General features: G+C 39.0%; 1 protein-coding gene and 1 long non-coding RNA gene across 7 annotated transcripts in view; one reads left to right on the plus strand and one right to left on the minus strand.

Moving 5' to 3' along the window:
* SCFD2 (sec1 family domain containing 2) overlaps positions 1–26964 on the minus strand; it is a 493080-nt gene that overhangs the window by 165398 nt on the left and 300718 nt on the right. The window contains exon 6 of one of the 6 annotated variants that reach the window (XM_011534376.4): positions 1984–2097. The exons of 4 other annotated variants lie outside the window; for them this stretch is intronic. In XM_011534376.4, the coding sequence (XP_011532678.1) occupies positions 2090–2097 (8 nt within the window). In that variant the 3' untranslated portion in view covers positions 1984–2089. Of the gene's footprint in view, positions 1–1983; positions 2098–22384; positions 23472–26964 lie in introns of those variants that run through there. One more of the 6 variants, XM_011534375.4, reaches the window with a different exon arrangement.
* LOC124900701 (uncharacterized) lies at positions 236–10719 on the plus strand. Its single transcript, XR_007058116.1, has 3 exons — positions 236–1733; positions 9495–9656; positions 10634–10719. It is a non-coding gene; the product is annotated as an uncharacterized LOC124900701 (long non-coding RNA).

Genomic DNA, 26964 nt, shown 5'->3' on the forward strand with positions numbered 1-26964 from the left:
TCAATTGTAAAGACAACTGGATTGTCTTGGATACAACTCTTCAGATTGATAATTGGGCTCCTTTATATTTCCTTACAGATGTTCAAATGTTCACAGAAGAGTTTGTTTTAAACAGTTTTCATTGTAAAACAGTTTGCTTTTAATTAAAACAGACTTGCATGGAGAGTTTCATGAACAAATCATGCCTGACATCTGAAGCCTCTGAGCCTTGTCCATTATGAATTTTACTCTAAGTATAAAACGATAGGGAGAAAGAACATGGAAAATAAAATGCCAGGTTGTTAACAGAAAAAAGAAGACATTTAAAGTTTTTTGTTTTTTTTTTTTTTAGACAGGGTGTTGCTCTGCATTCATAGTGGAATACAGTGGTGTGATCACATCTCACTGCAGCCTCAATCTCCTGGGCTCAAGCAATCCTCCCACCTTCGCCTCCTGAGTAGCTGGGACTATAGTCATGTACCACAATGCCCAGCTAATTATTTTTTTTCTTTCAGAGATGGTGGATCTCACTTTGCTGCCCAGGCTAGTCTTGAACTTTTGGCTCAAGTGATCCTCCTGCCTCAGTCTCTCGAAGTGTTAGAATTATAGGCGTGAGTCACCATGCCTAGCCTAAAGTATTTTAATACCGACAAAAATATTTCCTTAAACAGGATTTGAATTCTGAGCTTTCCATCTACCAGCACTATATATTCCCTTTCCAGGTAGCAGTTTGGCTACTCTAGTCTAGTGCCTTCAGAATTCTGAAAAGCTCTTCTGGGCTTTCACTTTCCATTTCATCAAAGAGAAAAAGAGATTCAGTCTTCCTTTATGGGAACCCCATTTGGGATCAGAGTTTGGCTCTCAGGCCACGGTCTAAAACATATACATACCATATGTGTTCAATAAATGTTCATTTTTTTCTTTCTCATCCTTTGTTCTCTACTCTCTTATTTCCAATCCAGTTTGCATGTCCAATTATCAGGTCTATCAGAATAAGCCTTAAAATACCAATTTCATTAGGTGACTTTCTTGCTCAAAATCTTCCAGTGACTCCCAGCTGCCCATAGAATGTAGCCTGAACTTCTCTTCCTGGTATTCAAGGCCCTCTGTAATCTGACTACAATATACTTTAAAATTCTCTAACACACTTTAAAGACAAATTTCTATTGGGCCAATCTTCTCACCAATTCCTGCCTTTAAGTGCCAGGCCCTAACCAAATTTCTCACTGGGCCTGAGTTTAGGCATATCTTTTGCAAGAGGATTGGCTGCTCCACTCCTGCCCCGATAGATCACAGTAGCCTTAGTATAGCTACCAGGTAAGGGTGCCTCCTGTATATCATGCACTTTTCATACATTATCTTTTTTCATCATCATAATAACTTGTAAAGACCACATTCTGATTCCATTTTACAAATAAGGAAGTTGGAGCTCAGTGACATTGTGACGTAAGACCATGTTGTTGTTATGAAGTGGTGAAAACAGGATTCTCTCCTAAGACGGTTGCTAGAGCCATTGCTCTGCCCCTGCCTCTATGCTGACTTCATTCATCTCTTCTGCTCTGAACCTTGTCCAGTTTTATCTTTGGAATCACTTATTTGACACTTACACTCCTTCTGTCTTGAACTGGTAATTACATGATCCATTTGTGCTTATCTTCCCAACACGGCTGTTAGAGGGCAGTGGCTTCATGCTATTAACAAATCACCTCCATCAGCATTGAGCATAGTACTATGGCATAGCACAAATGCAGTGGGTGAGTATGTTCTGAAATCCTACTTATAAACTTCTTTTTGAGTTGAATTCTCCCTCAGACCTCCTGTTTTTGTTTAGAGTGCTGTTGCTCTTTGCTGAGTTAATGTTATCAAATGAAGCAATATATCTTTATCTGAGACCATGTAACTACCGCAGCATGTAACTCAATATGAGAGAGGGAGGTGAGCTTGACTCAAATGTCAATTTTCTAAAATTAACAAAGTATTTATGAATGAATGAACTTACATGAGTCATCTGAAGAAGGATCTTTATTTATAAATAATCCACATTGGAATTTGATTTTTTTTCTCCAACCATACCTCAATTTCATAAGATGGGGTTCATTTGAATCAAAATTTAATGTCCTACAATGCAATAAAAATGAAACAATGTGAGATTCCATATGCTTCTCATGGAAGCTTGCTAGTCTGTAAAATGGAAAGTACCTAGCCATGTTTAATGTAGATACTTTGCTTTGCTCTATTTGTCTAAAAATTTCCGAGGAATGCCCTGAATTATGCAACTATAAATATCTCTGTTCTTTGGGTTTCCTATCTTTTCTGCAAACTCCAACCACATTAAGTTCTTCCAATGCATGCTTCTTACTCATTGCCTTTTAGTAGTGGGTTCATTATAGAACTTCCAGCATTGTCGATAAGAACTGTACTTTTTTGATGGTTCATGCCTTACTGAAAAATTTGTGAAAGACCTTTATCAAGAGTGAAAATGATAACTAATTTTGAAAACAAAGGTTAAAAGATTTTAAACCTGTTGATAGAAAATCTTTCATGAATGAGATAAAACCTCTGTTGAACTTAAATAATTGCCTAGGTTTGAGAAGTTTATTCATTTCCCTTATTTGGTGAAAGAAAAAGAAAAAGAAAACCACAGGAACTATTCAGTCTATAAATCTGATACTAGACATATGCTATGCATATTTTCATAAAGACTTTTATTATGTGATCCTTAAGCAGCATATCCGTGCCATATGGGCAGACTGGAATATAAAACATATCTCTCAGAAAAGCTATTATTGGGTCAATAATATGCTAATTAAAAGGGTTTATGCAACCATCTGTGGGATCCCCAATGGCAGACGTTTGTTTCTAGAACTGATAGTGCTGCAGTATCTTATGGTGCCTCCTACAGTGTTATGGATGCTTGATACAGTTTCACTGATGGTGATGGAACAGAGGTGTTGGTAAACCTGGTGAATTCATAAGGTATGTTTTACACTTAACAGAGATTTACAATCACTGCACATAACTTGGTAGATTTAAAGGGTTTCTGTGGAGCTAAGTTCCTCTAACTACCATTCTATTCAAAATAAATCAACATTACATTTACCTGTTTACCATACTTGCACACAGTAAAACAGCATTTAAATCAGGAGATGAGATGTCCAATGAGAGTAACTAAGTGATTAACTGTGCACTCCAGTTACCAGCTTTTGGGAAGGGTAAAAATTTAGTTTTGTAAAAGTACTGGGTAAGGATGAGAGAAAGGATGAGAGAAAGAATGATCCACATTGTTTCTTCAAAATGCCTTTGAAAATGGAAGTGTTCACCTTGTACATGTGGTTTAAGGATGGTTTGATGTAGCCCTTAGGAAATTCACACATTACTGCTTCAAAAACCATGCTTCACTATTTCAGTGGTAATATAATTACTTGTTGTTGGTGTTAAAATACTTGAGTTTTATTCTTTTCAGGCATTCCATAGCATAGCTCTGTTTCCCAGAGTGTATCCACTTCTTCCATCATTTGCTACCCTCAAGAGTTTCCTTATTTTTATATTCATCCTCTTTTCAGTAGTGACAGCATGGAGCATAAATGTTCCACTTTGTTAAGACAAGCTGAGGGACAAATAAGCTATGTCAAAAGAATAAAACATATCTCAAATATACCTAAGAGCCAGGACCTGGTCTCATGGGTCTAACAAAGGGACACATACACTTCTCTCAGCAGAGCTGTAAAATGCTTCTGCTGACTTCTGGGCCCTTTAGTAATCAACAACTCTAATGTGGTTTACAAAGCTGGTCTCATTGGAGACTGCAACAGGGTTTTCTCTCATTCTCTATACACCACGGTGGTGGATTTGCTATCTATTCCTCAATCCAAATCCGGAAATGCGTAAAATCATTTCACTGTTTTCAACCATCTGCTATTATAGACATTTATTTCTATGTAAGTAGTATAAAGCTTCTTCTAAAAAATGTGTGTGTGTGTATATATATATATATATCATCAAAAGATCCAAGAACACTGGGCCTTCATTCCCACAGGGACGCAATCAGCTAAGGCTGAGCAAAGGTGTCCCTTCCCTGTGGTATAATTTAGCATGGTTCAACACACCATGTTCTTTGCCTTTCTCAGTCCAGTAGAGAAAAAGGAAATATGTACTGGACTTCCTGGAAATTGGAACTTTAAGGCTGGATCTAAATATTACAATACACAAATAAATAAAATATACATTTTCTTGTGACACATCTGGAAAATGTACATGGAGGATCTGGTATAAGATAAAATATTCTCGAAAACAAAATCTCTACATATTAGTTTCCTCCTTTTCTTCCCCAACCTATTTTTTTTGTTTTTTTCAGCGAATTCAGCCATTTTATCCTAATGTCCTCCACTTACACACATTAGATTTCCAAGTGAAGTAACAAAACGGAGCCTCAGAATCCCCTGGAGCTGACCACCTTTCTTGGAGCAGCCTCCTGTAGTTTCTCCTTGGGACTATGGATTGTCATCTAAATGCTATCCCTGGTTTGTCTTGGGGCAAGGTTGGGCTGAATCTTCACAGCCGGAGGTATTAGGACTTACTCTACTTATTCTGTTTTTTGGAAAAGGGAAACCAGAAAGCACGTGAAACTTTATAAGTTAGAAAAACAACAGGGCCACAGACACTACTTCTAAAAATAAATACCACCTCGCCATTTCTGACCACGGCAGTGGGTTCAGCTACCAATAAAATCCGATTATATTATGTATTAATTGAGTGGCTTTCTATTAAGAGAGGCAGGGGTGAGAGGGAAGGAGGTTAGGAAAACATCTCAATAAAGCTCAGCTTCACAATGCTGAAGGCAATAGCAAATCAGATGGAACCAGGAAAGGCACTGTGGGGAATCTGATGAAGCCCACGTCAGTGACAAGTGAAAGAAAAGGGATGGCATTGAGCCAAAAGGAGGAAGAAAACAGATGGCAGCAAAATTAAAGCATCTGATTAGGCTGGAGATCTTAGCTGTCAACTAACAAATGTAAATAAATTAGGGAGACTTGACATATAAAAAATAGTGCTGAGAAAAGAAATCAGCCATGCTTAATTTTAAATAATTGGTGACCATGTTGCTGTGAAATCCATGCATTTGTCAACAAAGATTAGTTAAATTGAAGAAATATAAAGTGAAAAAATAATAATTATCTGGAACAAAATTTCTAGATAATTGTAACAAAACACGAGGGTCAGAGCAGTGGAAGGTGTTGAAGTGTGCTAAAAATCCTATCTTGTTGAATAAAAAAAGCAACTTGCAAAACAGTATTACTTTTAATATCGTTCCACTTTTTATGTACTACAAGAAAAGACTTTGTGAGGATACACACCAGATTTTTCAAGTGGTAACTGGAAATGGAGAATATTTGGGTACTTCGGTATTATTTAAATATTTAAAAAATGAACTTTTAAAAAATATTCTTTTAAAATAAACACTTACAAACCTTTAAAAAATAATATATTTCCCAAAGTATATTTTCAAAATATGAAATCTCTCTTATTTTTTGACATTGATACACTGATTATTTGCTTCCTGTGTTTCAATAGTAAAACATGTCACAGTTAATGTTAGACGCTGTGGTAGCCCCGGAGTTCACTGTTCAAACTCTTTCAAGAAAGAACTTGCCTTTGAGCTGCAAGGAGTGCAATTAGTAGACAGCTGCCAGCTGTCACCCCATTGGCATCCTCCTTAGCTTTTGAGATGGGGCCACAGTCCTCCTGGTCAGTACCAGCCAATAACAGAAGATGGTGAGGGCACTAGGACCTGGCCATTTCCTCCTAATGAAGTCTTCTCTAATAGTCAATCTTTAATCCCCAATTCCCCCTGGGGTTGGTACACTTGTCAGACCTGCATCAGAGTCTGAGGCTCTACCTCCCCAACCCTGCTTCCCCCACTGTCCTTTCACAGTTGTCAGATTTACATCACAGCCCAAGGCTTTCCCTGCTCAAACTGCAATCCTGCTCCCTCCCCCTTTTATTTTTCAAAGCCTTTATCTCGTCCTCCCACCTACCATAAAGCTCTTGCACTTCGAACTCTGTCTCAGCACCTGGTTTCTGGAGAACCAAATCAACAGACACTTTTTGGGGTTCCACATACTTTACAGGAACTTCCTTCCTTCCTTCCTTCCTTCCTTCCTCCCTCCCTCTCTCCCTTTCTCCTTCTATATACTTTACAGGATTCCTTTCCCTTTCCCCTTCCCATTCCCCTTCTCTTTCTCCTTCCTTCCTCCCTCCCTTCTTCCCTCCCTCCCTCCTTTTTTCCTTTTTCCTCCTCCTCCTCCTTCAAAGGGGAATTCCTCTCTCCACCCCAACCCTGTAATTCCTTGCCAAGCCTTTAAAAAAAATCATATAGCTCTGTCCTAAGATTATTGGCAGTGTAGGAAGCAGACACATAATCTGTCTCCATCTTTACATAGTGAGTCAATTAGGAGGCAAGAGTATTTCTGTTTTTTTTTTTTCCTTTTTGTCTGCACATAAACTGTATCCACTTAACTCCCCACCCCAATTCCCACCTCCACCCCCAACCCCCCCCCCCCGCCCACAAAAAACTTGCTTTGAGTCTGGGGTGAGCCGTGGTAACTTATAGTCACTTAGTAGCTACTAAAAATATTCTTAAAATAAGCAATGCTACTGCAATAGAAAATTCAACTAACAAATCTGCCATCTGCATTCAATGGACAATAGTAGGAGAATAGCAATATTGCCCTGATGACAAAGTGTGATCCCCAATACATCACAGCAAAGAGGTGAGTTTCACAAATATTCAGGTTACCTGGAAGAGAATTCACGTACATTTATAGGATTTTACTGTTTCCTTTGTACGAGGTTTTACTAATATTGTTGCTTTTGATTGCATACACTCTACTGGAATTCATTTATTATTTGTTTTATAGTGTGGATTTTTAGTTATTAGTATTCAACAAAATATAGTACTGGTATTTGCTTTTCTAACCCCATAAGTATGGTATGGGCACTTAATTTGTAAATGCAATTTGTGTTTTATTGCCTGCTGGGTTCTAGTATTCTACGGCCAATGTATTTCTTTTTGGATATGTAATTTAGCTTTAAAAGCTTAATTTTTAAAGGTTTGAATACTACTATATATCCAGAACTTATTATTTCGTATACTATACAAATAAATTTATAAATAAAAATAGCTTTTCTTATCCTCTGTATAATAAAACATACTTAAATTTTTAATTTCTCTCAAAATTTCCTTATAAAATTAGATTGCATCTTACATATCTGAGTATATCTTATATTCTGCCAAATAAGGGATTTTGTGTGTGTGCTTAGCAATAACTCTTGGCATAGATAGATAGATAGAGTGGGTGTTCAAAAATGCTTATTTGATGACTGAATGAATTAATCTACCAATTATTTACATATTTTGGAAAATAGAAAATAGTCTGTGGCTATCTCAACTTAAGATCCTGTCAACTAAGAAAAATTTTAACATGCCATAAAATGTTCTTCATACGCTAATTATCTCATAGTTATAATCTAACTTCTTAAAATATAAATGTTTACTATTTGTGAAATGAAAAAAAAAATCTATAGCTTTGTAGAGCTGGAAAGAGATCAGTTTGCTAACCATCCCATCTTAAAGATGGGGAAACTAAAGATCAGAGGTCACTTAACTATCCAGAGGCTACACACAGCTATGAAGGTGCAGAAGTGGGCCCAGAATGCAGCTCTCTAATATTTTCAGCTTAGTTTTCATTTCTCTTCTACCATGAGGTTGAAATATCCATACTAAAAAATCTTTTCAAAACAAATATTCAGTACCTATGAGGATGGAGTCAGCAGTGGCATAAATTAAAATGAATATTTTAAATTTTATTTTTATTTTTTTAGAGATGTGGTCTCATTCTGTCACTCAGGCTACAGTGCAGTGGTGTGAACACGGCTCACTGCAGCCTTGATCTTCAAGCAATCCTCCCCTTTCAGCCCCCCAGGTAGCTGGGACTACAGGTGCGTGCCACCACACTCAGCTAATTTCTGTACTTTTTTGTAGAGACAGGTTCTCATTATGTTGCCCAGGCTAGTCTCAAACTCCTGAGCACAAGCAATCTATCTGCCTTGGCCTCCCAAAGTGTTGGAATTACAGGTGTGAGCCACTGCGCCTGACCTATACCATTTTTTAAAGAGCACAGATTTTTTTTTTTTGTGATATCCAGAAAATCATAAAGTAAGATATGCTCTGGAAAATGTTGCAAAAGTAAGTAGAAAGTTCTGGTTCAATGGTACCTGACACTCCCACTTCAACAAAGCTACGTGTTTTTGTTGTTGTTTTTTTCTTTGAGACAGAGCCTTGCTCTGTCGCCCAGGCTGGAGTGCAATGGCATGATCTCGGCTCACTGCAACTTCCACCTCCCAGGTTCAAGCAATTCTCCTGCCTCAGCCTCCCAAGTAGCTGGGATTACAGGCACGCGCCACCACATCCAGCTAATTTTCTTTTGTATTTTTAGTAGAGACGGGGTTTTGCCATATTGGCCAGCGTGGTCTCAAACTCCTGACCTCAGGTGATCCACCTGCATTGGTCTCCCAAAGTGCTGGGATTACAGGAGGGAGCCACTGTGCCCGACCAAAGCTATGTGTTTTTGTGATGTGTGTAGTAATTATTTTCCCAAGTTTTGACTTCTTTTCATATTTCAGTAATAAATATTTACTGAATGCCTACTATATTCCAAAAATTGTTCTATAACTTAAAGATCATAGATTTAAAAAACACAAAGTTCCTGCTCCCCTGCCATTCTCAAAAGTGTGAAATCCCAATTCTCACTGAGCACAGTGGCTGATAACCTATAATCCCAGCACTTTGAGAGGCTGAGGCAGGAGGACTGCTTGAAGCCAGGAGTTCAAAACCAGCTTGGGCAACATAGTGAGACCCAGACTCTACAAAAAATTAAAAAATTAGGCAGGCTTAGTGGCATGTGCCGTAGTCCCCAGCTACTTGAGAGGCTGAGGTGGGAGGATCACTTGAGTGCATGAGGTCGAGGTGGCAGTGAGCCATGATCACACCACTGCACTCCAGCCTGGACAACAGAGTGAGACCCTGTCTCTAAAACAAAAAACAAACAAACAAAAAGCCCCACAATTATCTTCCAAGTATTTTCTTTGCAGGTTGTGTCTTCTTGACTCCTTAACTATCTGTTCCTCATGATATCTTCCTCTCACCTGTACCACGCACACTAATGCACACACATGTACACACATACACTTCTATCAGGTGACTGACATGCATGTTACACCGTCTTACGATTTTAAAATTCAGAATGACTTTACTCTTTTCCAATTTTTGGCTCTGTGGTTCCATTTAGGTTGTTTCTATCCAAAGAAAGCCAGGAATGGCATATTTATTTCTTCCCCCAAACTCCAAGGTGTGCTTTGCTAGTTTGTTTTCCTTAGAGAAATGAGGTTTAAACTGTCTCAGAAATGGGCATCTCCAGTAGGTAACCTTCTGGACTTGAACTGATAATATTTTGCAGGGGTGTCTAATTCTTCTGAAAATGTGACAGCTCTTCGACCTGACAGCCCTTCTGCCCTGACTGGTCACATGTGAGGGAATGTGTGTACTGTCTGGTGACTGCTAAATGTGGCCCAGGCATTCACTTACCCAGTGCACAAGACCCAGCAGCATCACCAGCAAGGTAGCTTGAAAAATCTTTTAATTAAATATTCTAGGCTACGCGCAGTTGCTCAGACCTGTAATCCCAGCACTTTAGGAGGCCGAAGTGGGTGGGTCACCTGAGGTCAGGAGTTCAAGACCAGCCTAGTCAACATGGCGAAATCCTGTCTCTACTAAAAATACGAAAATTAGCTCAGTGTGGTGGTGTGTGCCTGTAGTCCCAGCTACTTGGGAGGCTGAGGCATGAGAACCACTTGAACCTGGAGGCAGAGAATGTAGTGAACCGAGATCGTGCCACTGCACCCCAGCCTAGGTGACAGAGCAAGACTCTGTCTCAAAATGAATAAATAAGTACATACATACATACACACAGACATACTCTAAAACTTAGAGAGTCACTTTAACCTTTGCAGTATTGTCTTGACCTGAAAAAATGAAGATACTAGGTGTAGTGGCTCATGCCTGTAATCCCAGCATTTTGGGAGGCTGAGGCAGGAAGATCCCTTGAGCCCAGGAGTTTGAGAACAGCCTAGGAAACATAGGGAGACCCTGTCTCTACAGAAAATAAAAATAAAAAATTAGCCATGGGTGGTGGTGCATATCTGTGGTCCCAGCTACTAAGTAGGTTGAAGTGGACAGATCGCTCGAGCCTGAAAGGTCAGGGCTGCAGGGAGCTGTGTATCTCAAATGTTTTATTTCGATGGCCCTCCAGGCCCTGGGTCATCTGGCTCCTGCCTCTCTTCTCATTGGGCTTCAGCCATGCTGCCTGCATTCCTCCAACTCCCAGTGCCCCTTCTTGCTTCCTCTAAAGCTGCTCACATCCTCTGCCTCCCCATTTCCTGTCATCTGTCAGGTGGAAGCTTAGGGAGGCCTTCCCTGGACTCCCACACACCACTACACTCCAGCCTGGGTGACTGAGCGAGACCTAGTCTCAAATAAATAAATAAATAAATAATAAAAATAAAGCATCAAAACATTAATCTTAGGAATCTTTTTCAGCTTGTGGAGTAAATCAGATGAACAGTGTGTGAGAATTGGAAAACGTGTCCCAAAGAATAAGCACAACAGAATGGCGTACCTTCTTTCAACCCAGTTCAGTTTAACACAAGAGACTTCACACGGTTAATTCCATGTGGAAAGGACATTTTCTTGCTGGAAACAAATTTTAATCTTTGTGAGTCTGGAATTCACTAGGAAGAACACAAGATATGATACCAAGAATGTCTGCCCAGCCTTGCCATTAGAAGTCTTGTGACATGGAACTCTGTCTGGCACACTCATAACCTTAATGCAAGAGGATGGTGAAGAGGAATGTTTAGTGACCTGAGTGTAGATTATTGGTACTAATAGTAACAATCACAGTAACAACAAACAGTGGTATAGTGCATACCATGTGCTATTCACTGTGCTATGCACTCTTCATAACCTATATTAACTTATTTAGTCGTCACAACAGACCTGAGGGTCAGTCTACAGAGGTTAAATCACTTGTGCAAGCTTACATAGCCGAAGTAGGATTCAAACCCAGGCAGTCTGGGTTTCTGGTGCTCTAAACCACCATGTTTCACTGCCATTAGCTATCGTCTCCTCCTTGTTTTGTTCCCAAATGACAGAATAATGTTAAAGAGTGAGCAGAAAGGCAGCAGGGCATAGTGAATGGAAGGCATGCATCAGCTGGAATCATGAATCTTGCCTGGTTCAGCCTCCTGCACCAAGCTGCCTAATCTGAGTCTATCTCTTTAAAAAATTTCTGATAATGATAATGACTACCTTATGTCAGAAAATTAGATAAAATGCACAGACAAAATGCTCTCTCTCAGTGGAGGGGTTATAGGTCATTTTGTTGATGTTTTTGTTTTATTTGAGGTCATTTTAATTTCCTTCTTTTGGGTTTTCAGTATTTTAAAAAATTCTTTGATTGGCATGTATTCATTCATAGATTCAGCATTCAGCAAATGTTTATTTACTCCTGTTACAGGCTATAGATGTTAAACAGGAAAAAATAAAACACAATAGAAAATATTTTGATATGTGTACATGAGTCCGCAAACACTCGAATGTCACATGCAAAGGTAGTCATATAATGGAGGTAAGGAATTTCTTTCTCTAAAATTCTATGTTTAATGTTGTTTCTGTGGCCACTTTTGAGATCAGCAAATAAAAAGAAGTCTTAAAAACACCTTTAAGTACTTAAGAGAAGCAAGATCTTACCAGGATATCTTATTCCCCCAATAATGGTGGACAAATGAGGTGTTGATTAGACATTTTCAAAATGGCACAAAAGGCAGTCATGAGCACTGCTTTCTAACAGCTCCAGATTAAGTGGCAGCAAACCTCACCAGCAACAGTCTGGCTAAATAGCTGTCGTGATTAAACGAATCAAGATAGGTTGTAGAGGAGGCCATGAGGAATACTTCAAGATGACAAAGCTCAGAATTGGATTAGATTATTCTAGTTCAATAAAACAGATAACATCTCTATGTCTGGAACTGAAAATTACAGCCATCCCCTTGAAGCTGGAGAGTTTTGCACACAGTGGTGGGAGGCTATGAAGAAAGAACAAAAACCAGGAAAAAGCCAGGCAGATAATGCACCTGATTGCCGACACCATCTCTGGCCTCATTCCAACCCATTCTCCACATTGAGGTCAGTGTTTTATAAAACACAGATATGATCAAGTTACTCATAGGCTGAAAACCCTTTCATGGCTTCTCACTGCTTTGTTACCTCAAATGTTTTATTTCGATGGCCCTCCAGGCCCTGGGTCATCTGGCTCCTGCCTCTCTTCTCTTTGGGCTTCAGCCATGCTGCCTGCATTCCTCCAACTCCCAGTGCCCCTTCTTGCTTCCTCTAAAGCTGCTCACATCTTCTGTCTCCCCATTTCCTGTCGTCTGTCAGGTGGAAGCTTAGGGAGACCTTCCCTGGACACATCTTGATTAGGTCAGATCTCCTGGTAGGCGCTCTCTCAAAACATCAGGTTATTTTCCTTCATAGCCTTTATTACAATTTCATAATTAACACTGTGTGATTGTTTTATTTCTGTCCATCTCCTGGCTAAATTGCAAGTTCCATGAGGGCAGAGACCACATCTAATTTGTTCCTCACTGTATTCCTAGTGCCTGGCACAGTGTAGGCATTTATGAAGATGTATTGAACACAATAATGAATAAATATAATTTACAAAAAGCAACAAAGGTTTGAGAACATCTTCTATCACTATGGCAGACTGGTTAGACTCTGATCCCTTAAATTTTCTTCTTCTTGGTACTCTGGGAGACATCGGTCAGCCTCCCTTTCAGCCAGGTTCTGGGGGCATGCAACTGTATGCAGAAGTGTATGCAGTTCTGGCCTGTATGCAGAAGTGAAATGAGCCCCTTCCAGGACCAGCAACGGAGCCTCTCCAATCTTCTATACCACTCTTTTCCCCAGCAGTATGGTCAGAAGTTGAAGAGCCCAAGGTGTGGAGCCACCTAGGGGAAGCAACCCAAGCCCCTGAGTTACCTGTTGGTTAAGTGGGCTGCTTGAACCATGCTATGCTTGGCTTGAGTGAGAAAATTAAATTTTATTAGGTAAAGCCACTTTATAATTTGCAATTTTTATTACGGTGGCTAGATTTAATTACATTGGTTAATACGACTGCTTATTTCACTAACTTGTTTCTCCATCTGGATATAAAGTGGCGCTAACTGCACTAGCAATGCTGTCACTCATTGGAAGTTAAAGTCCGGAAGTTTACCACCAATAAAAGAAGGCTCTGATTAAAGAAGAAAGTAAGGATTTTAAAATTAGTTCTACTGAGTATTTCTCCTCATCTTTTAGTCAAAGAGAAGGAATTTCTAAAAGTCAAAGATGTAATAAAGAAAGAAGATACAGAAAAGATCTGAACATATTAAAAAATGAGATGAGGCCATTAAAGAATAATGACTGGTCCCTCAATTAGATCTAATTTTTCTAAAGAGCCCAAACCTACAGGTCAGACATTCAGCACCAGACCTCCTTTCTTGTAAGAAAAGCACAATAGGGAATCTAATTATTTTTAAAATGCAAAAATATGACATTATTCCCCTTCTTAAAACCTTTCAGAAGCTTTCCATTGCTTTTACTAATAAAATCTAAGTTCCTTCATGCTGCAAGACCACACATGATTAGGTCACTACCCACAACTCAACTCTGCCTCTCTCTCCCCTTACTCTCTTCACTCCAGATACACTAACTTTCTTTTAGTGTCTGGAACTTTGAGGGTTTCCTCCACCTTATGGCCTCTGCACATGCTGCTCTCCCTACCTAATTCCTGCTCATCTTTCAGTTCTCAGCTTAACAAGAAAAATTAAAAACAAAATCTTTCCCAGTCCTCTAAATTAGCGCAGAATCTTGATTGCTCGTTACGAACTTCTTGTCACATGTCCCAGTGACTGGCATCTAGTACATTCTCAACAATCATTCATTCACTGATGAGTCAAAAGGCCACTGGAGATTAAAGAATAACAAGAAAATAAAGACTGTGCATTATCAACTGGAATACTCTTGAATTGATCTTCCCTTGAGATGTTTGCGATCTTAAATTTTCCAGCTACTGACAGATCCTTGATCCTTTAGGTAGGACAGTGGGGCAGTCTTCAACTTAAACCCCAAATGGTAATTGAGACTTATACAATGAGCATTTTGTAAAGATGGCTAAAATGAAAGTGAAGAAGTCTGTTCTTGGTTCACTTTCAGGTGATTTTAGGTCAACAATTGAAACAAAATTAGTTACAAGTGACCCTAAAGGTATCTCCATACAATGCAATACTACACAACAAACAAAGCTACTGCGACATGCAACAACATGATGGATCTGACAGACAAAATGTGGAATGAAAGAAGCCAGACACAAAAGAGCACACGCTGTATGATTCCAGTTACATGAAGCTCAGAACTGGCAAAACAGGCCAGGCGCCATGGCTCATGCCTGTAATCCCAGCACATTGGGAGGCCGAGGTGGGTGGATCACTTGCGGTCAGGAGTTCAAGACTAGCCTGTTCACCAACATGGTGAAACCCTGTCTCCACTAAAAATACAAAAATTAGCCAAGTGTGATGGCACACGCTTGTAATCCCAGCTACTTGGGAGGTTGAGGCGGGAGGATCATTTGAACCCAGGAGGCGGAGGTTGCAGTGAGCCAAGATCATGCCACTGCACTCCAGCCTGAGCAACAGAGAGACACCGTCTCAAAAAAAAAAAAAAAACTGGCAAAACAAATATATAGTAATAGAGGTCAGAATGCTGGTTACCTCCAGGGGGACTGATGGGAGGAGGTACAAGAGAGCTGCTTCAGTGCTGGGAATATTGTATATGCACTGGGTCCAGACATATGAAAATTTCATTAGGCTGTAAACTTATGTTTTGTCCACCTTAGTAGATAAGTGATATCTTAATGAAAAAGAAAACAGAGATCCCACTGGTCAACACCCTGCAGTGATTCTATCACAGCCTATAGGATAAGGTCTAAATTCTCAGCAAGGCATACAAAGCTCTTTGTAATCTACTCCCCAATCAGATGCCCTCATCTCAACTCCTGACGCTCAGCACTTGCGCACTGTGCTCCGATCATATGGCTCTCCCTCAAGTTCTCTAGAAATGCCATCCCATTGCTCACCTCCATGTTTCTGCATCCGCTTTTCCTCTGCCTAGAGAGGACTCGGCCTGCTGTCCACCCAACACCCTCCTGTTCCTCAGGGAATGGCTCCGCTTCTCTGGGGCTGAGTCAGGAGCATCTTCCCCTTGTTTCCCTTCTATTTTCTTTTTAAAAAATTTTAAATTAATACATAGTAGATGTATATATTTTCAGGGTACATGTGATAATTTAATGCATTCTGATAATTTTTAAAGATCAAATCAGTATAATTGGAATATTTACCACCTTAAATATTTGTCTAATTCTTTCAAAGAATTAGAATTATTCTTTGTCGCTATTTTGAAATACACAGTAGAGTATAATAAACTATAGTCACCCTCTGGTCTCTGAAACACTAAGTCTTATTTCTTCTATCAAGCTGTATATTGGTATCCATTCATCAGTGTCTCTTCATCCTCCCCTCCTCACTACCTTTTCCGGCCTCTGATAACCACCCATCTAGTCCCTGTCTTCATGAGATCCACATAAGCTCCCATGTATAAGTGATAACATGTACTATTTGTCTTTCTGTGCTTGGCTTATTTCACTTAGTAACCTGCAGTTCCATCCATGCAAATGACAGGATTTCATTCTCTTTTATGACAGAATAATATTCCCCTGTGTATTTTTCATATGTCTTATAATTTATGACCAGAATTAGCATTCTGCATTTTAGTTGACTTTTTACATGTCCGCTTCTCCCCCTAGACTTAAGGCTTCTAGAGGGCAGAATTTTGTATTAATCAGCTCTATACCCTTAAGTCCTGTCATGGTGCCTATCACACAGAAGGTACCTGATAAATATTTGCGAAGTTTGAATTGAAAAATATGCAGTAAGACATATAACAGGTAGCAAAGAACAAGAGGACATTTTAACTAATGTTTCATTTAAAGAAACTAAATCCTTCTAGAATATAAGAAGCCAGAGACAGATGAAGTAAAGAAAGAAAATGATTAGCTTAGAAAAAAAAAAAAGAGTTTTTTTTTTGTTTGTTTTTGTTTTTGAGACAGAGTCTCACTCTATCACCCAGGCTGGAGTACAGTGGCACAATCACAGCTGCTTAGCAGCCTTGACCTCCTGGGCTTAAGCGATCCTTCTACCTCAGCCTACCCAGTAGCTGGGACTTCAGGCATGCATCACCATGGCTGGCTAATTTTAGTATTTTTTGTAGAGACAAGATCTCCCTATGTTGCCTGGACTGGTTTCAAACTCCCGGGTTCAAGCAATCTGTCCACTTCGGCCTCCCAAAGTGCTGGGATTACAGGTGTGAGCCATTGTCCCTGGCCTGAAGTCCAACTTTTAAAAGTTAACAGATCGAGGGGAGAGAAGCAGCAATAACAATAATGAAGGAGTTTGTGTTTGTGAGTTGTAAGGCATGAGCTAGACCAGGATATTCACCACAATATCAGTAATAACACCTAATTGTGGTACCTAACATTTACTGGGTGCTTCCTATCTACTAGGCAATTTGCATTCGTTATTAGATTTAATCTTTATGGCAGCCCTTTGAAGGTCTGTCATTATTCTCCATTTTATGTATCAGGAAACTGATGTTCCAAAAGCGTAACTTGCTAGGGTCACACAGACAGGATGTGGCTCAGCTCAGATTTTAATCCAGGCCCATGAGATTCCAGTGGGACTGTGATCAGTGACACTCTCCAAAGAGCACCTTGGAAGCCCACATAATGGTGGACGACAGGCAGAAAAGTGGCATGGCCTCTCTCCCCTGTGTTCACTTATAGCATTTAAACGTTCACAGCTGGAGAGCTACCCTTGGGAAATGATGCCTGGGAGTCCTGAGGGTTTGGAAAGTTGCCTAAAAACAGGCCCATTACAAAACCACATATGAAGCTGTGTGGTGATTTCCTGTAAGGTATTCATCCCAGCACTTACTAGGATAAAAAAGAACCACCCTGGAGGAACCCACAGGTTGACAGATCTGAGGGAACAGCTACCAATGACTACATGCCAAAAATAAAAATAAAAAGGAGAGAGAAAAAAGAATGAAACAGGACTCACCAGAGTCTTATGATGGGTACATGGCTCCCTCTGCAACCCACAACAAACATTAGAGTAAACGCCCTGGCACACCAAATGCCATCTGGTTTATTTTAGGCAATCTTGGGCACAGTATATTTAGTGTGGCTTCCTAGGGTCTGGGTATTGGAGTGTGTGCCCACTTGCTCAGACTCTCTCCTGACTGGCTGCAGTGAAAATGAGCTCGCTGGCCAGAGCAGACCACCATCAGAAGAGCCACCCGCCTCTTAGAGATGCTTCATGTGGTTCTCTCCTAGCCCCAGCACTTAACTGCAAAGGAAGGAAAATAAAGTACCCCAAAATGAACATGTGTATCCTGGGCACTTTTACCAAATTATGCTGCCAGATTTTTTCTATGTTATTCCCCAAGATACCTTCCAAAACCAACATTTCCAGGGTGTCCTGTGACTTTGTAACGTAGCTTTTTTTTTTTTTTTTCAGGTCATAGGGGAAGGCAAACAGACACATTTTTTACATTGACAGGCCTAGAAAAATAACAATGACTGCCTGTATTATACAATGGGGCCTTGTATTTTTACAGCTAAGCTGCATTAAAATACAGCCAGTGGACCTAGACTAAATCAATTTAATGACCTCAGGTGAGGACCCGGGGGAATGTCCATTCTCACAGTAAATCCCAACCATTCAGCCTCAGCCTCAGCCACAGTTTAGGACTGGGCTTCATCAAGTCTCAAAAATGGTAATGTGAAATGTATATGTTTTGCCTCTCAAATAAAGGACCACTCCTGGAAGTAAGGAAAGAGTAGATTTTATAGGGATAGGCTAATTATGTTTTATCCACAACAAATTCATTTATATATCTAACTTTTTTTTTTCCAAGTATTGTTCAATCAGATTACAAAATCATACATGAAAATTAGCTTGGACAAAACTAGTAGAGTAGGGTGAACTGTCATGACTTCATTCTAGAGATAGATTTTTCAGAATATATTGTACATTTCTTTCTAATTGTTCAGTTTCTCTAGTAAAGCACCACTTTTAGCCACCAATAACTTATGTTTCGACATCCCCCACTCTTCAGTTTTAGATCCTTGTATAAATTGGAACACAGTGATGAAAGAGGAAGAGGGATAGGGGCACTGAGTGGGGAGACCAAAGGATGAAGAAGGAAGAGTAATAATGAGGAAGGAGATACTGGGAAAAGGAGGAAAGTCTGACAAAGACAAAAATATCACAGGTTGGGCACTGTGGCTCATGTCTGTAATCCCAGCACTTTGGGAAGCCGAGGTGGCGGATCACTTGAGGTCAGGAGTTGGAAACTAGCCTGGCCAACATGGTGAAACTCCGTCTCTAATAAAAAAATACAAAAATTAGCCAGGCGTGGTAGTGCAGGTCTGTAATCCCAGCTACTCTGGAGGCTGAGGCAGGAGAATCACTTGAACCTGGGAGGTGGAGATTGCAGTGAGCTGAGATCGCACCACTGCATGCAGCCTGGGTATATACCCAAAGGAATATAAATGATTCTACTATAAAGGCACTGCACACATATGTTTATTGCAGGACTCCCGTACTAGCAAAGACATGGAACCAACCCAAATGCCCATCAATGATAGACTGGATTTAAAAAATGTGGTACATATATACCATGGAATACTATGCAGCCATAAAAAGGAATGAGATCATGTCCTTTGCAGGGAAAAAGGTGGAAAGGGATAAATATGGAAAGGGAAAAAGCTGGAAAGGGATAAAGCTGGAAGCCATCATCCTCAGCAAACTAACACAGGAACAGAAAATCAAACACTGCATGTTCTCACTCATAAGTGGGACTTGAACACTGAGAACACATGGACACAGAGAGGGGAACAACACACACCACGGCCTGTTGAGGGGTGGGGGGTGAGGGGAGGGAACTTAGAGGACGGGTCAATAGGTGCAGCAAACCACCATGGCACACATATACCTATGTAACAACCCTGTACATTCTGCACATGTATCCCATTTTTTTTAGATGAAATAAAGGAAAAATAAAAGACAATTATCAGGAACAGGGTGCTTGCTTATAAAAGAAAGAAGTAGGTATGTGCCATTCAAGATAGGGAGGGAGAATAATTAGAGGCCTCTCATTACTTTCCCAAATGTGGTAGAGCATAAAAATAAAGCCATGCATACCTTGTGCTGTGTTAGCAGCCAAAATGTAACGTTACCAACACCAGCATCTGGCAGGGAAAGGGCAGTGCAGAGATCAGCAGGAACTTGATGCCAGCTTACAAGAGGAGATTGCTTAGAGGGTAGAAAAGTACTGAGCACTCTCAATAAAAGCCATCTCGGAAAGTCAAGCAGAAGGGAATCTCCCCTTCATCCTCGGCAACTTCCATTGTAAATAAGGCTATCAGATAAAATCTGACCATTCAATAGACAGCTACATTTATTACTAACTTAGCTAATTACAAATCTAATTACAAATATGATTAATTTTAACATTCTATCTTAAATAATGTTAAGGCAGAGGTGATAATTTTATTATGTGCTACTATTATAGAGATTATTATTAATGTTTTGCTAAATATAACATTAATTCAAATATTTTCTTTTTTATGCCTATGAGTTGGGGAATTAATGTTATATCCCCAACTCATATAGGCATAAAAAAAGATTTGAATTAATGTTATAGTTAGTAAAACAAAAGTATGTTTTTAATATATCAGACAGTCAGACAACTATATAGTTAACTGTATATTTAGCTTCAAATACATATAATGTCTCGGGGAAAGTAGCCATTTTAAGTATATGCAGAATTTTAGGACCAAAGTCCATATAGCAGTGGGCTGGCTGCACATTGGTATCACCTGGAAAGCTTTAAAAATTGCTATTTTCTAGGCCAATCCCTGTGCACTGACACCAGAATCTCTGAATCAGGCACTGATAGTTTTAAAGACTGATAGGAAATTCCAATTTTCAGTCACAGTTCAAATTTATTGTTAAAAAGGAAAGCAAAATTGCCCCTAACAATCTGCCCCTTAACTGAATCTTTTGGTTTCGATCTCTGGGTTTGGGTCCTTTATCAATTGCTTAAGACACAATGGTTGAGAACTCTCAGATAAGTGTGGAAGACTGAATATACAAGTTTATATCTGCTTATCCCCAGAACCCCAGGAAAACTGACAGTAAAGCAGTAAAAACAGGTACCACAAAGAAAATACGACAGGAGATATACTTGATGCAAGATAAAACGAGCCTTTTGGAAGATGGAAAGCACACAGACAAGTGGCAAGTAACTTGGAGCTGAGAAAACCATCAAGTAGCATGCCACTCAGTGCCACAGCATCTCAGAATTGCTCAGGAATCGCGGTACCAGGAGCTGATGGCAAGGGTGTAGAGTAGAGCCAAGTGAGAGAAATGATTGCAAGTTTCTACTAGAAGCAGTTTAGAATATCAAATTTCTTCCCCTGATGAACTCCAGCCAGGTGACTGATCTCTCCCTTGCCTCAAAGGAAATAGGAAATTAATCCTGGATAGAATAAAACAGAGACCTCAAAACTAAGGACACCAGAAACAGCAAAGGCCTGTGCTGGTTAAATCCTCCCACAACTGTGAAAGAGAGGTGTCATTAGCCCTATTTTACAGATGAAGATCTGTAGTGAAGGGCAAAGCCAGCATTTACAACTACCATGGGCCTGGCATGATAACAACTTGCCTCATTCAATCTTCAAAGCAACCATAAGAAGTAGATACTTTTAGCTCCATGTTAGAGATGAAGAAATCATCGTTTAGAGATGTTACGTATCCAAGGCCCTCTATGTGCCAAATAGCCCAGCCGGAACATGGGTCTTGGCTGTGTCTGACTTCAGAGCCTGAGTATTTAAACACGAATGTAAAAGCATAAAGCAGAGCCTGGTTTAGTGATACAGTATTTATTTTGCAAATGTCTTTTGGTAAAATCTCCTTTCTCTTTTTTTTTTTCCTGACTGTGGCTAGGAAGAGGTAATCTGCATTCCTCTTCTTCCGTATAGCCAACTTTCAAATACTTTAATTAGTGCAATTTACCTCAATTCAAGCCTCCTTGATATGTCAGGAGGTTGACTGAGATGGACTTCAATAATTCTCAGAACAAAAATATAAGTGTACTATATTTTTGTTAAAAGCATTAACCAAGTACTTTTCTACAAATAGCAATATAATATACATTACATTATTTCTCCTTGCAATTTTGTAGTCAGGAATTTTATGCAGTAAAAAATCTCCAGTGCTACAGTAACTAGATACATAAAGCAAGTTCTTCCTTCCTTTTTAATGATACTCCTCTCACTCTAAGTGGGAAGAATAGAATCTCACATTGAAAAGATTCTTGGGCTCATTGGTCCAACTTTCTCATGTGCTTACTACTGGGAACACTTGGTTCCAGAAAAATGATTCTCTCAAATGAGCAAATAATTTTCCATAATACTTAGGCCAAGACAATATGTCTTGCTCATGGAGTGTAGAATGAATAAAGGAGAGTCAGGGTTTAAAAAGAAAAGAAAAAAGTTGTAGCATTATGTCAGAGTGCTAAGGAACTAGAGGCCCCATTAATTCTACTTTCTCTATGAAAAAAGTACTGTTCTTCGTGTTACTCTGATCACGAAGGTAACTGGGCTGGGGTAGGTTGGGAGGTGGAGATTTGGCTCAAGCTCTGATCCATGAACGACCTCCAAATGTGGATATGTGGCATCATCTCCAAGTGAGTTTTACATGTAAATTGAAACAGAAATGTCCTCAAGAGGTTGAAAGATGCTTATTATACACATGAAACTTAGATCTCTGTACTGCAAAGGTTCTCAAAGTGTGGTCTGGCTGTCCACGAGGTTAATGCTATTTTCATTAGAATACTAATACATTATTTGCCTTTTTCATTCTCATTTTCTCATAAGTACATAATGGCTACCTTTGGTGTGATATCTCAACATACTGAATGCAAAAGGAGATAAGAGAATCTACCTATCTTCTATTTAATGAGACATTAAGGAAATCTGGAAAAATAGAGAACAATGCCACTCATTCTATATATATGTACTTTTGTTGTTTTTGAAAGTATAATTAAAAAAATATAAAGATATGTGACTTTGTTAACATGTAATGAGTTTATTATTTTCAGGTTTAATTTCTAATAGATAAACAGCAATAGATAAAATCCATATCAACAAAAGCTTTGGGGAGCTTATTGCTATTTATAAAAGCATAAAGAGGTCTAGATGATCATAAAGTCTAGGAATTGCTGCTTTACTGGGTCGTAACACCTACAGTGAATTATAAATTTAGAATTCATCCTGTAATTTTCTTGTGAATTACAAAAATGCAGTGCATTATATTTTTGTTAAAAGTATTAACCAAGTAATTTTCTATAAATAGCAATATAATATACACATACATAATAGAAATATAACTCTTTAAAATATGCCACAATTTTTATAAACCTGCTTTGACATCTCTTTAATTAAAATATGCTAAGAGCTTAAAAAACATCAGGTCTTTCTTGAGTTCTGAACATCCATTAGTGAAGAAAATGCAAGATTGAACTTATATTTTGGCATGGCAAATACTAATGCTCATATTCATGGAGCTCTTACTCTGTGCTAGATGCATTTCTAAGTGCTTTCCACTGGCTCTTCTCACGGAGTCCTCACAACAATGCTCGAGGATGGTATCGAAGCCCAGAGAAGTTCAATAACTTGTCCAAGGTCAGACTGCTGGTAAAAAGCTAGGATTTGGACCCAAGTAGCCTGTATCCAGAGCTCCTGCTCTAAATCATATGGACCACCATGATTCATCCAGTCCATTCCTGTCTTAGGAATCTTCCTCTCTTACTTGCCAGAAGGCACTTTAGTACAAACGAGGACAGGAGGACTACAAATCAGAAGGGCTTTTAAGAGTATGGCAGGCCCTTAATGTAGATTGAGGTCCATGGTTCTGCCTTCTGTTGCATTTACATTGCGAGTTCCTTTAGGGTAGAGTTCTGCTTACTCTGCGTTATTTATTCATTGGGAAACATCACCCTATGTGTGAAGCGCTTCAGGGCTGGGAGGTCAGATGGTAGTTTTAAAGGACTTTTTCCCTGGGGAGTTGTGTCACAAGAAATTCTCATAACGGCAATATGTCCCCCTATTTCCATTATGCAAATCTGATTGCCTTAATCAGTCCTCCTTCAGCACCTGAAAAAGAAATGTAATACTAGGACACAAACTGGTGCAAGAGAAACAATAAGTGATTTTTCCCAAGTCCACGATTAGACAGAGGGTGAGAGAGCTAGCTGGCCTGATGTTATCACATCCAGATGTGATGGCAGCCTTTAGTCTAGGGAGGTAACAAGATGCTATTAGGTGACTTAAAATATATATAATTATTATTGTAATTATATAACATAATATGTAACATAATAATAGTAATAATAGGCCGGGTGTGGTGGCTCAGACCTGTAATCCCAGCAATTTGGGAGCCTGAGGTGGGCAGATCACTTGAGGTCAGGAGTTCAAGACCAGGCTGGCGAACAGGGCAAAACCCCGTCTCTACTAAAAATACAAAAATTAGCCAGGCAAGGTGGTAGGCGCCTGTAATCCCTGCTACTTGGGAAGCTGAAGCAGGAGAATCACTTGAACCTGGGAGGCTCAGGTTGAAATGAGCTGAGATCGTGCCACTGCACTCCAGCCTGGGCTACAGAGACTCCGTCTCAAAGAAAAAAATACGTACAATAACAATAATAATAATAATAATAATAATAGTCTCTCATTAAAGAGTTTTGTTTGCTTTCATTAGACCCATACTTCCTTGTAGACAACAGTTGATTTAGAAATTTTCCTCTGCATTTCTGTTCAAATGCAAATTCTAGTTATCAAAGAACCAAACAAAGAATGACAGGCATTTTTTTGTTTAAGTATCATGACTTACATACCTACTAGCAGAAACATTATTTCTTGTCAGCTGGGGAGCCTGGGAGTGGGGAGAACAGTGCTCTGATGGAAAATCCAAATCAGGTGTTCTTCCTACCTGTGTAAATTTTTAATAATTTACTCAGCTCTTACAACTTTTATCCCATCGTGATATAAATGTAACACCAGGATAAAATTATGGCTGAACAGTGACACACAAAAAGAGTATTTTCATTTCAAGTGAGAGGAGATGCAAATCACATCTGTGATTAGACATTTTAAAAACTGGTTTTTTGAGCACCATCCAGGGATTTAGTCTCTTGAGTAACAAAGCTGGCTTTATTACATGGAACCCATATAATTTAATAGGTGCACAGCGATACAAAAACACTATTACAAATGTGAAATGACCTGGCCCTACCAAAATAAAAACCATTCATCTAGTAATTTCTTGAGTTCTTTTCACATTCAGATGACAAAATAGAAGCTTCAATTATAAATATAGGTTTATATTTAAAATACCTAAGACAAGGTTTTGCATACAAAAATAGGAGCTTAGCATATGCTTGTTAATACATGGCAAAGGTTAATTTAGAAATTTCATCTTCTTCACAATTGGAAACAGTATTTGGAATAATGCCTCTGTCAGACTTTATTCAAAATTTATTTACAAACAGTGATCTTAGGACTTTCACCTTTCAACATGTAAAACTGGGTAATCAATCTTTATATTAGAAGTTTTAATTTTAAAAACCCATAATAATTATTCTGTATACAACTTATGCCCCAATGTAACAATTCTCCAAAGCTAATAAAAGAAGCATAGTTCTTTAAAGGAAAGATATCATAAATACATTTAAAATAATAATTCCCATTTTAAAAGGAGATAAAAAGGGGAGGAAGGAGAAAGGCCTGATTTCACTTTCATAAATTCATTTAATGATCCTAACGAACAAATAAATGCTATCATCTCCTTTAAGAGATAAGGAAAGTGAAGCTCAGATGCTGCTGCTGCTTGCCAGTCTCAAGTCAGATAAACAGGGAAGTTAGGATTCAAACCCAAATCTGTCTGACTCTAGGACAATAGTGCTTACCTCTACTAAATGAGAAGAGTGAAAAGACTACTATATAACTGAATAAGCTTCACTGTTATTTGATGAAGGTCCCCAGAATTTATTCAAGCTCTCTCCATGCTAAATGACCTTAATCACTAAAAGTAGATTCACTCGATTAAAGTATCCCTCTAGAACCACTTCAGATGAACATGAACAGTTCTTGGAAGAGGGTACCACTGGCAGAGTCTATGCTTATCAGAATTTTTTTTCTAGCTAAGCTCAAGGCATCAACTGTCTAGCCCGGATTTACTATCATTTGTAGCTAATTTTGAGGCAAATTGCAGTCTCCACCTTCCCTCCCTCTCTCCTTCCCTTCCTTCTTTCTTTCCTTCCTTTTTATATAAAATATCAGTATTATCTCAGATTTACCTTCATTTTTTCTTGGTAATAGCTCCCAACACATCCATTTTCTAAAAATGTTGTTTTCTTTTTAATTTATCTTTTATTTCAACTTTTATTTTAGATTCAAAGGGTACATGTGCAGGTTTGTTACATGGGTATGTTGCATGATGCTGAGGTTTGGGGTACAAGTGATCCCCTCACCCAGGTAGTAAGCATAGCGCCCAGTAGTCTTTTAACCCTTGCTCTCCTTCCACCCTCCCCCTCTAGTAGTCCCCAGCGTCTATTCTTCCCATCTGTATGTCCACCAACACATACCATTTTGATTAAATACTTGAATGCAATAGACTGCCATTTAAAGAAATGTCTAACAATATCCTGTAATGCAAATGACCTTTAGGCAATTGGAAATGGAAGGGTGGAGACTTATTACTTGGGTAACTGTCCTGAAGACACGATAGAGCCCATTATGCCTCATTTTCAAAACTACAGGCAGCATTACTTACTTTCAATACCAATCTCTTGGAAACTCTGAGGACAATCCAAGTAACAGTCCTAGATCACTGAAGGTGTTTAAAAGAGGAGAAGAAACAGTAAGACATAGTGGTTGAGGGGAAAGGCTCTGTTATTGAATAAGCTCACTTTCAGAGGTACCCTAAGGCAAATAAGTGTGACATTATTTGTCTTAAACAATCACAGTCTTAAAATATCTCCTTATGAGGTCTGAATTCCAGCTCCACCAATTTATAACACTCTGGACAAGTTTCTTAACTTACTTGAGCTTCAGCTTCCTCATCTGAAAAAACAGGCATAAAAAGGCAGTGACTTCATAGGGTTCCATGAGATAATACATGTAAAGTACCTAGCTCAGTGTCTGGCATGTAGAAAGTACTCAATCAATTATGACTTTTAATTAATCACGTTCTTAATATTTTCTCTTGGGACATCTATAGTTTTTCACCAGAATGTGTGCTTTATTTTTGAAAGCATGTTGCTTTTTAGAAAAGAGCCAAAGTTTTTCCAGTAGTTATACAAGGCAAAAAAATTTAATCAGAAAAATATAGAAAGTAGACAGGAAAGAACTCCAGTCATGACAGCAGATACCTTGAGAGTGGCAGGAAAACTTTCAGCAGATCATCTCAGTAGAATAATAACTGCACAAATGACAGGCATATAACTAGCAGCGGTCATAGATCACTTATGGCAGTTAGCACAATAAATTCAATATGGCTTATGAGTTAAGAATATTTATACCATATATAAATTACTTCAAGGATACAGACCAGGGAAGTAGCCTGGGGGAAAGGATAACAGAGACAAACTTT

This window comes from Homo sapiens, chromosome 4, assembly GCF_000001405.40.
Source record: "Homo sapiens chromosome 4, GRCh38.p14 Primary Assembly".
NCBI classification, from domain to species: domain Eukaryota; kingdom Metazoa; phylum Chordata; class Mammalia; order Primates; family Hominidae; genus Homo; species Homo sapiens.